Source organism: Homo sapiens, chromosome 1, assembly GCF_000001405.40.
Source record: "Homo sapiens chromosome 1, GRCh38.p14 Primary Assembly".
NCBI classification, from domain to species: domain Eukaryota; kingdom Metazoa; phylum Chordata; class Mammalia; order Primates; family Hominidae; genus Homo; species Homo sapiens.
The window spans coordinates 171,839,671-171,857,605 of record NC_000001.11 but is presented as its reverse complement, the minus strand read 5'-3'; the positions used below and the strand labels follow the sequence as shown (position 1 = coordinate 171,857,605).

The 17,935-nt window shown below is 39.7% G+C and overlaps 1 protein-coding gene across 24 annotated transcripts in view, besides 2 other annotated features; it reads right to left on the bottom strand.

The window, feature by feature from the left end:
* Positions 1-16,108, bottom strand: part of DNM3 (dynamin 3) — a 576,969-nt gene extending 560,861 nt beyond the window's left edge. For all 24 annotated transcript variants that reach the window (NR_146559.2, XM_017000979.2, NM_001350206.2 and 21 more), the window contains exon 1: positions 15,789-16,108. Coding sequence is in view for 23 of the 24 variants with exons in the window: in XM_017000979.2 (XP_016856468.1) it covers positions 15,789-15,949 (161 nt within the window). In the remaining variant the exon portion in view is untranslated. The remainder of the gene's footprint in view (positions 1-15,788) is intronic.
* Positions 15,684-15,863: an enhancer, noted in NCBI's record as "active region_2086". NCBI's record gives its function as "activates an Ori minimal core promoter by ATAC-STARR-seq in GM12878 lymphoblastoid cells {active_cell/tissue: GM12878}" and the evidence as "EXISTENCE:reporter gene assay evidence [ECO:0000049][PMID:35858748]".
* Positions 16,064-16,293: a silencer, noted in NCBI's record as "silent region_1551". NCBI's record gives its function as "represses an Ori minimal core promoter by ATAC-STARR-seq in GM12878 lymphoblastoid cells {active_cell/tissue: GM12878}" and the evidence as "EXISTENCE:reporter gene assay evidence [ECO:0000049][PMID:35858748]".

Sequence of the window (17,935 nt, the reverse complement as noted above, 5' to 3'; positions counted from 1 at the left end):
GTCATCAGGACATCTGAGAAGGTCAAAATCAGCATAGACAGAGTGTTCAAACGGGATGTTCCATGGATAACCCTGAGCTTGATGGTAGAATGGAAGATCTGACCAGTTGCAAGTAGAGAGAGAATGCATTCCTTCCCTCTCTAAACTTATTTACTTCTATGAATTTTACTATCCTTCCTCCAGGGATCTACTCAAAGTTTGAAATTATTTTTTATTCCCTCTCTGCCTTTCTGTCACTCACCATTTGTAATCACAGCCTCTGTCTCTGAAATGACCTGTATCCATTTCCACCAGTAAACATACTTTTTCAAGCCCTATTACCATTCAATCATTAATTCCCCACTGGTACCTCAGATGTCTCCCTCCATCTATGTATCCTCCAGTTAATATGTGGCCAACTTAATCTTCCTAAAGCCTGACTCCAGGCACACTGCAATGTCTCTTACAAATCATTAACAGCTCCTCATTGCTTCCTAAATTCAGTACCAATTCCTCATCTTAGCAATCCTCCATAGGGCCCCAATTCACTCTGCCAGCTCTATCTCCCACCACTCCTCTTCTAGACACATAGGTCACATAGAAAATTCTCTGTTCCCTAAACACATCCTTATTTCTGTGCGTCTGGCTTCATCTCGATCTATCAAATTCTTACTATTTAATGCCCATTTCAAATTCTACTAGTTTACATGAAATCTTTCTTGGACTCTCCAAAGAAAAATTGAAAGACTGCTTCTTCAGGCAAGAGAAAGAAATAAATGGCATCCAAATAGAAAGAAATGAAGTCAAACTATCCCTGTTTGCAGAGATGACATGATTTGATATCTAGAAAACCCCATAGTGTCATCCAGCTGATAAACAACTTCATCAAGGTTTCAGGATAGAAAAATCCGTGTACAAAAATCACTATCATTTCTATATACCAACAACACCCAAGCTGAGAGCCAAATCAGGAACACAATCTCATTCACAATTGCCACAAAAAGAATAAAATACCTAGGAACACAGCTAACCAGGGAGGTGGAAGATCTCTACAATGAGAACTACAAAATACTGCTCAAAGAAATCAGAGATGACACAAACAAATGGAAAAACATCCCATGCTTATGGATAGGAAGAATCAATATCATTAAAATGGCCATATTGCCCAAAGCAATTTATAGATTCAATATTATTCCTATCAAACTACCAATGTCATTCCTCACAGACCTAGAAAAAAACTATTTTAAAATTCAAATGGAACCAAAAAACAGCCAAGTAGCCAAGGCAATGCTAAGCAAAAAGAACACAGCTAAACTAATTATACTACCTGACTTCAAACTATACTACAGGGCTACAGTAACCAAACAGCATGGTACTGGTACAAAAACAAACACATAGACTGATGGGACAGAATACAGAATAGAGAGCCCAGAAATAAGGCCACACACCTACGACTATCTGATCTTCAACAAAGCTGACAAAAACAAGCAATGGGGAAAGGACTACCTATTCAATAAATAGTGCTGGGATAACTGGCTAGCCATATGCAGAAGATTGAAGCTGGACCCCTTCCTTACACCATATATAAAAATCAACTCAAGATAGATTACGGACTTAAATGTAAAACCCAAAATTATAAAAACCCTGGAAGACAACTTAGGCAATACCATCTGAGACGTAGGAATGGGCAGACTTCATAACAAAGACACCAAAAGCAATAACAACAAAAGCAAAAATTGACAAGAGGGATTCTAATTAAACTTAAGAGCTTCTGCAAAAGAAACTATCAATAGAGTAAACAGACCACCTACAGAATGGGAGAAAATTTTTGCAAACTATGCATCTGACAAAGGTCTAATATCCAGCATCTGTAAGTAACTTAAACAAATTTACAAGAAAAAAGTGGGCAAAGGACATGAACAGACATTTTTCAAAAGAAGACATACAGATGGCCAACAGGGATATGAGAAGAAAAAAATAAAAAAGCTCAACATCACTGATCATCAGAAAAATGCAAATCAAAACCACAATGAAGATACCATCTCACACCAGTCAGCATGGCTATTATATAAAAGTCAAAAAACAACAGATGCTGACAAAGATATGGAGAAATGGTAACACTTATACACTGTTGGTGAGAGTGTAAATTAGTTCAACCATTGCGGAAAGGAGTATGGTGATTCCTCAAAGAACTAAAAGCAGAAGTACCATTCAATCCAACAATCCCATTACTGGGTATATACCCAGAGAAACATAACTCATTCTACCATAAGGACACATGCATGTGAATGTTCACTGCAGCACTATTCACAATAGCAAGGACATGGAATCAACCTAAATGCCCATCAGTGACAGATTGGATAAAGAAAATATGGTACATATATACCATGGAATACTATGCAGCCTTGAAGGAATGAGATCATGTTCTTTGCAGGAACACGGACGGAGCTGGAGACCATTAAGTTTAGCAAACTAACACAGGAACAGACAACCAAATGTTGCCTGTTCTCACTCATTAGTGGGAGCTAAATGATGAGAATTCATAAACACAAAGGAAACAATAGACACTGGGGCCTCCTTGAGGGTGAAGGGTGGGAGAAGGGAGAGTATCAGAAAAAATAACTATTAGGTACTCGATTTAGTACCTGGGTGAAGAAATAATCTGTACAACAAGCCCCCATGACACAAGTTTACCTATAAAACAAACCTGCACATGTGCCCCTGAACCTAAAATAATAATTTTTAAAAAAGGAAAAATTGGGCCAGGCACAGTGGCTCACACCTGTAATCCCAGCACTTTGGGAGGTGGAGGCTGGCGAATCACCTGAGGTCAGGAGTTTGAGACCAGCCTGGTGAAACCCCGTCTCCACAAAAAAAAAAAAATTAGCCTGGCATGCTGGTGGGGGCCTGTAATCCCAGCTCTTCAGGAGGCTGAGGCAGGAGAATCACTTGAATCTGGGAGGCAGAGGTCTTTCAATTTTTCTTTGGGAGAGTCCAAGAAAGATTTCATGTAAACCAGTAGGATTTTAAATGGGCATTAAATAGTAAGAATTTGATAGATTGAGCTGAGATCCCGCCACTGCACTCCAGCCTGGGCGACAAGAGCGAGACTTTGTCTCAGAAAAAAAGGAAAAATTGCTCTTTTCCTTTGATCATCCAGAACACTGCACCTCTAAAGGCACCCAAATTCTGTCTAAACTTCCATCCCCAGTAATAATAATCATAAACAGGTAACTATGTTACCATGTGACAGACACTCTCCTAAGTGTTTTACATGTATTAATTTAATTTTTACAACCACCACATGAGGAGGGTACTACTATTGTCCCATTGTACCAATGAGGAAGCTGAGGCACAGGCAGGTTAAGTGATTGCCTTCGATCACAGAACTATTAAGTGGCAGAACTACGATGTGAACCCAGGGAGTCAGGCTCCACAGAATACATGTTCTTTACCTCAACACTCTGTAAGTTCTGACTACACTCTATGCTAGTCTACACTAGTTTCTGTTAAGGGCAAATATTTTTTTTTCCATCCCAAAACAGTGTCTTTCACAAAGTAGCAACTCAAGTATAGGTTGATTGTTTGAACCCATTTTGGTCATAAAATATGCTCTACTCAAGCTATTCATGTTCTTAAGTCATCAGAAATTGCCATTGCATACACAGAAAAGATGAAAAAAATGAGGTGAATACCTCTGGGAGGAGTGGAAAACAAAGCTGAATGGTCAGAAAGTTTTGAAAACCAAGTAGAGATTTTTAAAGGGGAGGGAGGGGACTGCAGGTTACTGAGGACAGAGATATTAAACTTGTGTTTTGGAAGATTAACCTGAGAGCAGCAATATTTACATGGAATAGATGAATAAGAAATGGAGAGAGTGAGAGGGCAGGATGCTGTCAGAGTTATCCCACATGCGAAAGGAGGACAGCTGAGACTCTGATGGTCAGAATGAGAATAAAGAGGAAAAGGCTGACCAAAAAGATGTTTTGAATAAAGAAATTACAAGATGTGTTAGATATAGGAAGATTTTAAAAATAAAAAAAGGAAACTAAACTATGTTTATTTTTTAAGTTTCTAGACTAGTATACCACTGAAAGAAATTGGGTCAATTAGAAAAGCAGATTTTAAAATTAAGCTTTTTTAAAAAATAAATAAATACAGACCAGGCACAGTGGTTCATGCCTGTAATGCCACCACTTTGGGAGGCCAAGGCAGGAGAAATACTTGAGCCCAGGAGTTCAAGACCAGCCTGGACAACATAGGGAGACCCTGTGTCTACAAAAAATAATTTAAAAATTAGCTGAGCATGGTGGTGCGGACTTGTGGTCTCAGCTACTCGGAAGGCTGAGGTGGGAGGATCTCATCAGCCAGGGATATCAAGGCTGCAGTGAGCAGTTTTCATGCCATTGCCCTCCAGCCTGGGTGACAGAGCTAGAGCCTGTCTCAAAAAAAAAAAGAATAAATACAGTTTACCTCTAAAACACCCTTAACCACAGCTGCTTCATGGAATTAGCCATTCCAGGAGAGAGTCCAGCTTCTTTACATCCATACAATGACAGGCATAATGATTTTTTGAAGGTCTAGACCCAGAGAGGTCTTAACTCTTTTATAAGTCTGTCATTTCTTATCTACCTACAGATAACCTATAGAAAACACACATTTTTTTAAAGCCAGGTTTCTCTCTGACATCCATCAAGCCAAATCGTAGACTGTTTAAAACAAACAAACAAACAAACAAACAAAAAACCTTCAAAGTCCTTTTGTTCAACCCCTCTCCTGACTACACCATGCCAAGCAGCCAGCAAGTCATCAATCGCCAGTCTCTACACTTATGGGGATGGAATACTTACTGTTTCACAGGCAATCCATTCCATTTTTTAAAGTGTTCTATTGAACAGTCTCCTCTACGTTAAGTTTAAGTCTATCTGCCTGTAACATTCACCCATTTGTTCTAATTATGTCTTCTGGGGAGATAACTGAGTCAGTCTAATCCTTTTCCAAGTAACAGCTCCTCAAATATTTAGAGACAGTATCATGAACTCACCAACTATTCTCTGACAAATGGCTCTCATAAGAATTGTTAGCCTGGGTATCCTGACAGTGCAGTGCATAGCAATCCTGTACCCACTGGATCACCAAGCTCTTTGAAGGAGCTGTTGCATACCAGAGCCTCACACAATTCCTGGCATATTGTGGACTCTCAACATATGATTCTTTGTAAATGACTCAGTAAATGGACAAATCCATCTGCTAAAAGAATTTTCAAACATGTCCTTTCTTAACTGGTTGTATCATCTACTTACAAACAAGTTTATTAAATTCTCTCTGTCCTCAAAACTCAAATAAATTTCATATAAAGAAAATATAAATTCAGAAGTAATCTGGAAGATAGGCAGGTAAATGAAACATCTTACTAAGAAACCTCAATAGGGGAAAGGGATTTATGTGGTATAAATATAATGTATTTTGGAATGTCTGAATTTGTATTACATGTACATATCACTTTTTCAATTAAAAGACAGCTTTTTTAAATTAATAAAGTTATTTCCATTTTAATTCATCCTAGTGGAATAGTAATGGTATAGTGTGAATTGTGTCTTCTCTAATAAAAAGATATGTCCTGCCATTTAAATAGAAAATAACCAAATAAATGACTAGAAGTAATATTAGATTTAATCTAGATCAGAGGCATTCAACAATTTTGAGGATAACCCATAGTAAGAAATACATTTTACATTGCAGCCTAGTATGCATATACAAATATGCAACTAATACAAAACTTTCACAAAGTGGTACTTATAACTACCTTGGATGTAGTCTGATACTTCGCTTAACACTGTCACACACCATCTACTAAACTGATATCATGGCCCACTATTAGGTCACAATCTACAGTTTAAAAAGCACTGTTCAGGTCGGGTGCAGTGGCTCACGCCTATAATCCCAGCATTTTGGGAGGCAGAGGCGGGCAAATCACCTGAGGTCAGGAGTTCAAGGCCAGCCTGGCCAACATAGCGAAACCCCGTCTCTACTAAAAATATGAAAATTAGCCAGGTGTGGTGGCGCACTCCTGTAGTCCCAGCTACTCAGGTGGCTGAGGCATGAGAATTGCTTGCACCTGGGAGGCAGAGGTTGCAGTGAGCTGAGATCATGCCACTCACTGCACTTCAGCCGGGACGACAGAGCGAGACTCTGTCTCAAAAAACAACAACCGTTCTAATCCAAGCCCACTCAACTATTCTCAACCAATTTATTGATGACAAAGGTATGTTTCAGCTTAGATAAATGGCTTGTACAGAGTCAAGTAGCTGATTCATTCAGTTAGCTCCTGCCATATGCCGGCACTGCACTACGGAAAATGATAAAGGAGACACAGCTCCTGGCTTCGTGGAAGCTGCAAATAGTTGAGCAGACAGAGGAGGCAACCAACTGTTCGGTAGATTCCTGTGCAGTGAAATATTAACAAGGGCCACCAAGGAGGGGCCTCTAAATCAGACAGATAGAGCTGAGAAGACCAGCAGATGACAGCAGAGGCCAGACTAAACCCAGCTCTCACTGTTCTTGGCATGCTACCTTGCTTACCTGTGGCACACTTTGAACAAATATGCAGGGACCACCTGCCACAGGGAGCAGGAGAGAACCAAAGCCACCCCAGACTAACTCATTCACAAATACTCCTAATTCTCACAGTGGTTGAACCTTACCAGTCTTTTCTCTTCGTATGTCCCTACAATCTGGTGGACACTCACAAAAGCATTGCTTCCTCCTTCTCATCTCCCCACTTACTCTGCAAGCAAGGAACTCATGATCCTTCTGCCACTTCCCTTCTTAACTTACTCTGAGGAAAAAAAAAAAAAAACAAAGCCCTAAGAGAATATGTAACTTTCAAAGTACATAATTCAAATCAAGTACCCACACATACACATTTTACATGATATGTTTTTAGGATTAAATAAACAGGCTAAAGTTTCTTAAGTTGAATTTACAAGGACTTCAGTATGCAGGTCGTTCTATCGGTATTTAGATGAGAATGCAGAAATCTCACCACACAATTGTTGCTGTCCTGGTAGTAGGACTCAGAACCATGAATGCTAGGATCTATAAAAATAATTGCAAGCCTTTGCCCCTCTTTTCAAAATATGAAGAGAATGGGTCTTAGTTTTATTAACCAGAAAACATAAACAGACACACATATACAGGGTTCTAAACCTCCACTAGATAAGAAACCCAAAGCTATTCTTTTCAAAGCTTCTGAGGTATATCTAGTAACTTAAAAATAATGTAATTCCAAACAGAACCAGCTGACTAGCTCAGAGCTAAAACTGATGGTTAACAAGTTATGGGAATGTCAATCAAATCAGAATATGAATCTTTCCACTGGAAAAAAGAGTGATTTGGTATTATTTCAACATCTACTACAAAAATGTTGGTACTTCTTTTAAGATCTAATTACACCTTACCTCCTGAACACTTGGTTGTAGATGGTTTCCTTGGGCTCAGACCATACTCTTGCTAAGTAGTCCTGCTTCGCCAACTAGACTTCCTCAATTGTTTTTCCCCCTTCTACACCATCTTTGCCTGCAATTTCATCTAACATTTCCAAAAGAAAAGGAATATGCTAAGAATGGTTTACTTTATATCACAGCATCAAATATCTTCCTTAAAATATATTCTCTAGGAGAAAACTAAAAATAATGTCAGAAAAATTCATTTTAATTCTATTATCTGTTATTAAGTCTATTTTGTTCATTAATTTCTAGTACTCACCATGTGACCCCAGTATGTCACCCAACTTTTTTCCAGCTTAATCTTTTTTATTTCTAAATTAAAGTAAACAAAACATGCTTTTGCTATCTTCTCACAGAAATTCGAAGGATTAATGAAATGATAAAAACTGCTTTGGAACTCTTGGAAGGGAAGAGTATACAAACTGGGTTCACTTTGTATATATTGGTTTAAAAAAAAAAGAACACATTGTGATAATGCATTTAACGAATGTGGGCAATGCTTTCTTTAAAGAAGGCTCAAATATATTCTATTAGCCTTATCTACAAGTAAGTATTTTGATGCAACTGTAATTTTCCAACATTCACGAAAAGAATTTGCAAATACGCATTACCATCTGCCTCAACTTACTTTTGTTTTTAAAACACTCAAAAAATGTCCAGTCTAAATAAAAGATTTAAATTAAGAGCAATCAGTTATTGAATGCATACTATGGACCAGGCACTTGATACCATCTTACTCAGAACTCACACACAGATTAAAAGGTGAAGTCTGCAATCCCTATTTTGCAGATGAAGGAACTGAGGCCAAGTGAGGCTAGATTCCGTAATGAGGAGCCATGCTACCAGTGAGAGTCAGAGGCAGGACTCAAGAGCTGCCAGCAAAGCCTGCACTCCATCACCATGCTGTGATGACTCCTCTTCAAATACTCACTTTTGAGAAATCTAAAAAAATAAGCACCATAAACAAGTTTAGTCACCCATCAAATTACTTATCAAATAGATTAGTCTTTCAATTCCAAGCCACTGGAAGGATAAACAATGAGGTCCTTCAGGATACCTAGCTACTGCTATCATGTATATATATGCTATTCATGGGTATATCATGACCTTGAAGCAGTGGGAAATAAAAATGACACACTGTCACAAAGAAGCACTGAGGTACATTTTAAACCCTTGGAAATAGAGGACTTGCAGCAGGGATATTAGAGAAAAACAAGATCTAAAGCAATCCTGTATCATTCATATAATTCCGGAATTAAATGTATCATCATTTTCCTCAACAACTGCTCTGTTTTTGTTATCAATTAACACTAAAGACAATGCAATATTAATGCTTGTTGAAAAATTGTTAAAATAATCTCTATAACATTAATGGACCTCAATGTCACTCAATGCACTCTAAGAATGCAAACACACACACAAAAAGAATAGAAAACAGGCAAACTGAAGGATGCAGATTTGCTACACAAATACATCTTTATTTTACCTAAAAGTTCACCCACTTGTTTAAATAATAACATTTCCATTTAGATTATTTATTTACATACAACTTTTCAGAAGCTCGTGTTGGTTTAAGCAAGGCCTATTGATGACCATCTCAGGCATATCTTTCTAGCTAATGCCCACCTGGTGGATAAATATTAATAATGTGTAAAAACATCCAATATCTTATTTAGTCTTTTCCTGGGCCCATCTGTTCCCTAAAAGTCACGCTTTACTCACGAGTATACTATTTCAGTCAAATTAACTTGCCTAAGTCTGAGAAAAATTCTGCTCCCTGTCTCCACTATTCTGTATGGGAAAAAAAAGGTAATAAAATGCAATGTCACTGCTGGTCAACTATCAAGAAGAGTAATGAAAGAGAGTATCACGGAAGAGAAAAAGGCTGGCCCAATGCAAAGGGATGGGAAAAGGAGGAGGCAGGGTGAGGGTTGGAGGGAGGTGCTCTAAAACAATAACAGGAGGAAGAGAAGATGATGAACTGGCACAGGCCTCCCAGTTCCTAACATTAAGTTCCAAACCTAGCTCTGATTTCTTCTGACCTTGGGCAAATCTCTGGTTTCTCTGTATCCTACTGTGCTCCAGGAAGTTAGAGAAAATCAAGCCAGAGAAAAGCTTCTTATAATAATGTCATCAAATGCCAGTCTTGCTACTATTAAAGGAAGAAAAGCTAAGCTACCTATGATCACACACACACACACACACACACACACACACACACAGAGAGAGAGAGAGAGAGTAATTAATATGGTATTAATGAACCCTCTAATTTGTTGGAAATGATTTTTAATTCATGAAATGCAAATCATTTAGTGTCAACTCCTTTACCCTCCTCCCATTCTAAACAATTCATTCCATTTTCAGGTTTGCCTTTAGGACATTTTCCCTGACATTTGTGTCTTTGACTTATTCTACTCCTTTAACTAAATGACTTATTCTTTAAAAGGAAAATAGAATTCACCTCCCTTAAGTATTAGTGCCTTGGAAGTCCTTATAAAATACTTGATCTGATCCATCCCACTCTCAATTAACCTTCACTGCATCCAGTTATATTTTTAATCTCTCCAATCTCTTTTTTTTTCCTTGCTGCTCTTCTCTAGGGCCCTCTCCAATATACAGTATCTCTTTGTGATAAAGTCACAGTCTAAATTCAATGCCTTGTTGTCAACTCAGAAACTGAGACACAGATCACCACCTTCCTGCTTTGACATAGATACTTCAGTACATGCAGGCTTGAGCTAAAATGATATGGGCTGCCAGATGACACTGGAAATGCATATATTGTCTACTTTCCACTTATATTCAGTTCAATTTCAGAACTGTAGTTTTTCAGGGATTTTTGTAAAAATAAATTGACATACTATAATTTTTTATCCTGATTAGTTTGCATTATATCTGACTACCTTCATTTTACATGTGCATTTGAAAGTTGTCTCATACTTTATCCTGTCAGTTCTCTTTTTATACATACATAAGCTTCTATGTATTCATATTTTCTTGTATATTCTTACCCAGTAAACTTAGAACTCAATAAATACATGTTCATTGGTTTTATGTGTCCATATTTCTCAAGAGTTCCAGGAGGAGTCATACTGAATCCCAGCTTGGCTGCTTGCTAGCTATACGATCCTGGGTGAATGACTTGTCTCTCCAACCCTGAATTTTCTCCCCTATTGACATGGGGATATGGAAACAGGTAAGGAATAGAAGGTATGAAAAGTATCTAGCAGAATCCATGTCTGCTACCCCATAATGGCTAAGCAAATGTTGGCCCCTTTTTTCCGTCTACTTTATAAAATGTATTTAGTATGACATAATCCATAAGAATTTTTAAATCAATGCAGAGAGTGTGAGAAACTGCAATGCAAACTTGGACTAGGATAAATTGCAAAACTTTGGCCATGCAGAAAATTAAATTGGATCATTCTATATAGCATATGAGCTTGGGACTCTCTTGACTTGGCTCTGGTAGCAGAGGAAAAAAATAATCTATTTCTTTCTAGATACTTGAAGTCCCTCTAAAATAAATGACAATAATAAATAAAACTTCATAATTTAACTTACTAGCCATAGCAAAAGGTACTACCTAAGAAGAATACCTAACACTCTAAATGTATACTCCATTGATAGAGAACCCAATAGCCTACCCTCTAATCCAGCTAAACATTAAGTTTCCATTCCTCCAAGGTTCTGGGTGACTGCCCAACTTCATTCTTAAAGAAGTTAAATCAAGTGCATTTTTGGATAACTGTTAATCATAAGTAAATTCCAAAACAGAGATATCCTATCCAGTCTAGTTATCTTAGTTATATTGCTCTCAGACATTACTAATAAAAAAGGAATTCATTTGATGGTAGTAATTAAGTACCACCAACTGTGAATTTGTGATAACCTAAAAGTATATTATATAATGTTAATTCAGCAAAAATATTTTTGTGATTTCAAGTTCTACCAATTCATTGTTGCATGAAGAAAAGTTCATGTTTTGACACTTTATTTATAGACCTTGGGAACTATGAAGTATGGTTCTCAATAATTATGACATTTTAATTGTAAGCACCATTTATCTAATAACTATAATACTTAGAAGCAATTTCTTGAAAAATATCAGCATAATCACTTTTTAAAAATATTTTATTTCGTCCCCATTAATCAAAAAACTTTTTCTATTTGTGCAGAATTGAGAGTCTATTTACCACTCAGACTAGAATAAAATAATGTGGACTCTTCTGCCTATATAATTAGCATTGAAAAACTAATATTTCTAACAAGCGTGTCATTTTAAAACATCTGCGTATTAGCAACTAGTACAGTTTTCACTTAACACCTCTATAAATGAGTTATATGCACTCTAAAAACATACTTAAATAAACAATCCAATTACATTTTAAAACTCTCTTCAAGAATGTCTAATATAGCAAAGAAAAATACTTATCTTTTAATAAATGTTGCTTCTGCCTAAGGGGTCACCTCAAATCTTCTGTGAAATGAGGCAAGGTAAACATATGTAAATAAATATTAATAAAATCATTAACATAGTAGCTTCTTGTTTATTATTATTATTTGAGACAGAGTCTTGCTCTATCAGCCATGCCGGAGTGCAGTGGCACAATCATGGCTCACTTACAGCTTTGACCTCCTGGACTCAAGTGATCCTCCTACCTCAGCCTCCCAAGTAGTTGGCACTACAGGCATGCTCCACCATACCTGGCTAATTATTTTTTGGTTTTTCTGTAGAGACAAGATCTCACTACGTTGCCCAGACTGGTCTCAAACTCCTGGGCTCAAGCAATCCTCCCGCCTTGGCCTCCCCAAATACTGGGGTTATAAGCATGAGTACTGTGCCTGGCCAGCTTCTTATTAATATAGGTAACATTTATATAGGGAGCAAGACAGAAGTTAAAAGTATTTATCAGAGGAAATGGTAAACCTCAACATGGAGGATGCAATATGGCACAGAGGTTCTAGAGCATGGGTTATGGTCATCAACACCTCTAGTTGAATCTTAGCTCCACTGTTTTTATATTAAATTAAATTATCCTTGAGTGAGTTACTCAAACTCTCTAAATCTTGATTTCCTCTTCTGTAAAATGGAAATCATAAGAGTACCTACCTCTTTGGGGTTGTATGAGGACTAAATGAGATTATTCATATAAAAGCACCCAGAATAGTACCTACACATAACAGGCACTCTATAAATGTTAACCATTATTATCATCACCACTGCACTATAAATATATGTATACGTATAATGAAAATAGTTGAATAAATTCAATTCTTCTGTATACAAATCAGACCAGTAGGCAGACCCAAGCCAGCTAGTAAACCCCTATGTTCAGATTATAGGTCTCAAATTCTATTCATTAGATCTTAAGCTGCCTCTCATTGCCAGCATATATCTCATCCTGCACCACCAAAAGAACAATCTGGTTACTCATGCTATATCACATTAATATGCAAGTTCATCACTTCAGCAAGAAAATCACAAACAAGTGGTTCATTCATGACTCATTTTATTCATAACAATCTCAAACCTGTCACCCAAAAATCAGCTTTTACAGCAACCGCTAAATGAAGTAAACATATTCACATCCGAATTCATTCATTGGTGTCCAAAAAAACTCAATATAAACAAACTGAGAGAAGATACAGTTAGTCCACTAAATGAGGATTGTTGAGAAAATGCATCATTATTTTGTAGAGAAGAAGCTTGAGTCAAGAGCAAACACAATGAATTTACACAAGTGATGACCCTTGGTTTTTATGGCTGCATTCAATAACTGCACATTAGATCGAGTCTTAAAATGAAAACTGTTTCGTGTAAAAGAGGAAAGTTGCATCCTTAGGAAAGAAACTGTTTTTATTGCAAAATTCCTGGATAATGACAAGAAAATGCTAAGATGTTACAGTAGAAAATGGATACAATTTTTTCCACCTAGGCTGAATAACTTATCAAAATAGAAAACTCCATTTTCCCTAAGGTTGGTTTATAATTAGAAATTAGATTCCTCAATAATTCAATGACCGAAATCTTTATTAAAGTCAAATGACCTTCCTAATTAAATTTTCTCCTTAATATGTAAGCTCTGCTAGGCAGGTGTTATCTCTACATATAATTAAGACTTTACATATGAATTAAATGACCTTTTTCCTCTATGGTCATCCTTTTCTTTGATTTGGCGTTCTAACAGTCAATTAGTGGTAAAACTTTTTAAAGTACAACAAATTACTAATGCATTCTGGTACGTGCTCTGATTTTTATACTTGTCCCTATTTTTTATTCCATCTTGAAAAATATTCAAACTTAAATATTTTACTCTTCTACATTTCTTTTTTCAAATTATTCCAAAAGAACATAGCTAGTGTGGGGAGATGTGTACAATTTTATTATAACATTAGGAAGAATGTTAGAATTTCAAAACCTAGAATGTAGAATTGTGGTATGTGCATACAACTGACATTAAGTTCAAAAGCTCTGACCACAAACAATGCACTTGCATACAATATAGGCTCATCCAAGTAAATATATGGGAGATGCATAAAAATATGGTAATTTCATTTGAAATACTTACAGTTTTAATCTTTAAGTATTTGTTTAAAAAACAAAAATAGTTAAATAACTCTTAAGGTGTCATGACAAAAATGCCCTGGCTTTGGAAAGCCAAAAATATGTTACCAAAACTCACTCTTTGGATGCCACTTTATATCTCGTAAATTTCATTGGCAACAAATCAAAGAAAGTAACTGTTATATGTTTGAAATCCATCACTTCACCAAAAGTCTAAGATGACGTAGGCAAAATGCTTTACCTTCACTTTGTTCATTAATCAAAAAAAATATAAAAATGAGGTGTAGTGATTAAGTGAATTACTCAAGGATACAAGCCAATTGTCAGCAATTTTACTTTGTTAGGCTTCTTATCTTTCTAGTTCATACAGGAAAAAAAATATCATCTGAGAGATGGAATATCATTTGAGAGAAAGGAATATGTACTTTATGAACACTAACATTTCCAAAGGAAATGTGGGAATATTCAGCTCTAAATTCTACACATCACCAAGCACTAACAAAAAAAGAAAAAAGGAACAGAAACAGGAACCTTCTGCATCCCAAGTCACGAATGAGCCAAATAAAAAGAATAAAGTACAATCTCGCCAGCATTTTTTCTTGGATACTGTACATTTCTACCTGGTTTTCTATTACTAGGAAACAGATTTCAGTTTTCATAATGCTTTTAAATGGGCTTTTCTTAGCAAATGTCTGCACTCTTCAGGCAAGGCCATTAAGGTAACTTAATCCCTCATGAATTGCTCAGTGGAAGAAATGCTGATTCCTAATTCGAAAATTAATTCCTTAGCTGTTTCTGTATTAAGAGTCATGAGGAAAACCACAGCTACAATTTAGATTCAGAATGTTGTCTTGAAGGCTAGCAAGACAAATAGGAGCTTAGAGAACGGAAGATGATGCTGGGGGAGGGGGCGCAGAGAGAGTGCGAGAAAGATGCTGGTCAGTTCCGAGATGATGCAGGAATGACATGGCACCTGGACAACATAAGTCCACGTCCACCCCCTGCCAAGTCTGTGCCTCGGGCTCTCTCACAATTGCCTGAAGCTGTGAATAGGTGCACACGCAAACACACCACCTTTTATTCTTCGACTCTCCGGGAGGAGAATGGTGGGGAAGCGTCTCTGGATAAAGCTTCACCACAACAAACGACGTCTTTCTCCTCGCACCCCGCCTCCCCAGCTAGAGGCAGGCAACAGTAGACAGCTGAGAGGAACGAGAACCCTGGCGAGAAGGAAAGCATCTCCACCTAAGGGAGGGGGCTCGGGGGATAAAGCCCCACAGCCTCACAGGGAGCCTCACGGAGGGCGACAGGAAAAGGAGGGGGGTGTTGAGCTGGGAAAACAGGAGAGGGGCACTGGGAAGCTTTCGGCGCGCTACGCAGGGAGGCTGCCCGGGGCTGGCGCGCACCGAGGGGGTGGGGGTCGAGCCCGGGGCGGACCCCTCCCCCGACTCCCCGACTGGAGGACAGGGAGGAAATGGCTTTGTATCGCACGATGAAAGGCAGGCAGGAGGGCCACCAGGCGGGGGGTGGCAGGGGACGGAGGATGCCCAGAGCTGGAGGACCCCGCCCGCCCCACGGACACCGCCACTCTGCCCCCCATTCCACTCTGCCCCCCATTCCACCGCAGCGCCTGGTCCATCCACCCTCTGGCTCCCGCTGCCCGTCCACGTTCCAACGGCCCGCAGCGGGGTCGCCCCACTGCCGCATCCTTACTCCGCGCCCTGCGCGCTTACCTGCCCACGAAGTTCTCGAGCACCGAGCTCTTGCCGGCGCTCTGGCCGCCCACCACGGCGATCTGCGGCAGCTCCAGCAGGCAGCTCTGTCCCAGCGCCGAAAACGCGTCCTGCAGACGGTTCACCAGCGGGATCAGCTCCTCCATCTCCCGGTTCCCCATCTTGCCCGAGGGGCCGGCGACCAGCTGGTCCCTGCTCGCCTCTACGACCTGACAGGGAGTAGGGGCCGCGCTGCCCTGGCTGCTGCTGCTGCGCCGGGCTCAGCCAGCCAGGTCCTGGCGCAGACGTCGGAGCCCGCCGCCAGCCCGCCGCTTGGCTCTGACAGCTAACGACCCGCAGCGCGCCTGCGCGGGCGGGCAGGGGCGTGGCCTATCTCCGCGACGCCCCGCCCCCGCCCCGCGGCTGCCCCGCCCCGGGCTTCCCATCGGACCACCAGGCCAGGCGCGCACGCACTGCAGCCCAGCTGCGGCCAGATGCCACGGCCTCTGCGTTCTGTGGCCAAGGCTCAGAGGCCAAGTTACAGCGCCGGGTCAGGAAATGGCATGAAATCAGCAGCAGCGGCAGCGTTGTTCTCTTTCAGCGGCTACCAAGCCAAAGCCCAGTGGAAAGCACTATCGCCGCTAACACCACCACACGATCACCAGCAACAGCAGCACCGCCGCCGCCACCACCGGGGCACCGCTGCCAGACTACACTTCCCGAAAGGAAATCTCCTCTGTCACGCCCTTCTCCAGAATCCGCGATGACTCCTCCCAGGGTGGCAGGCCTGTTGGAGTCTAAATTCTTCAATGTGACATCCATCTAAGGCCCTGAGTGGTCTGACCTTACTTAATTCTTCATCTGTAATGACTCGTCCTCCCCAGCCCCGCATAAGCACAGGTAGAGTCTGTAGGGTTTACCGCCCCGATACACCCCTTTAATCACTCTGGCCTGTGAGACTCCTCATGCCATTTGCCCTCCCGGTCTATCTCCTTCTACCGGATCTATCCAGAACCAGGTACCCTGGACGCATTCTGTGAAATTTAGCACATTGAGAAGTGACTGTGTGTGGGGTCCTGTGCCTGATGATCGGGACACAAAGATAAATGGCCATGCTTCTCTTAGCCTCCACAGACGGTTCCTTTTTAGTCTGCTCCTCAAATACTGATGCTTCGCAGGGTTTCATATATGGGCATTTTCTTGTCTAATGTTTGTCCTCTGCCTGAGGACTTTCCCATAGCTTTAACTCTGAATCAAGGCTGGCGACTACAGAAATTTACATTGCTAGACCCTGTCTCTCTTCTGCAACTTAGACTGTACTCCAAGAGGAGCCCAGAATACTACCTGAGTGTCCTACAAGTACTACAGACTCAATTTATTCAAAACTGAAGTCATCTTTTGTAATCTCAGCATTTAATGTACAGTTCCTTCTAACTCTAAAAAGACATATTAAAATGTTCATAATGTCAAAAAACCTGAAAACAACCCAAATGTCTATCAACAGGTGAATGAATAAACAAACGTGGTATATATATATAGTGAAATAATCTCTGCCACAAAAAAGACTTTTGATATAGCAACAATCTCAGATACATTATGTAGAATGAAAAAGGCCAAAGACCATATTGGTTTGATTTCATGTATGTGAAGTTCTACAACCAGCAAAGCTATTCTATGGTAATAGAAATCGGAACTGTGGTTGTCTTTGAGGAGTGGAGATTGACTGTAGGAGGCATGAGGAAACTTTCTGGAGTGATGGAAATGTCCCATGTCTTGACTGGGATGTGGGCATACATTTGTCAAAACTCCTCAAACTAAACTTTTAAGTGATGTGCATTTTACTGTACATTACATCTCAACTTTTTTTTAAAGCAGCAGAAAAAGACAAATAAAACTGAATGCATCTCCACTGAAGTGGATCTCTATTAGAATGTCTGCCCAGGAAACCTTTTCTAAGAAACACTCCATCCAATGCATGGTTGTAGCCAGAGCAGTCATGAAGATAGAAAGGCATGAAGAAAAACTGAGCCCTGGCCATAGCTGTGTGCACCAGATTGGGCACCTGACTTGAGCTTTACCAATCAAAGCCTTTTCCCAGGAGTATGCAATTGAGAGAGAGATTGGCCTTTGTCTGAGTGACTGAACTATAAGTGAGGAATAACATTGGC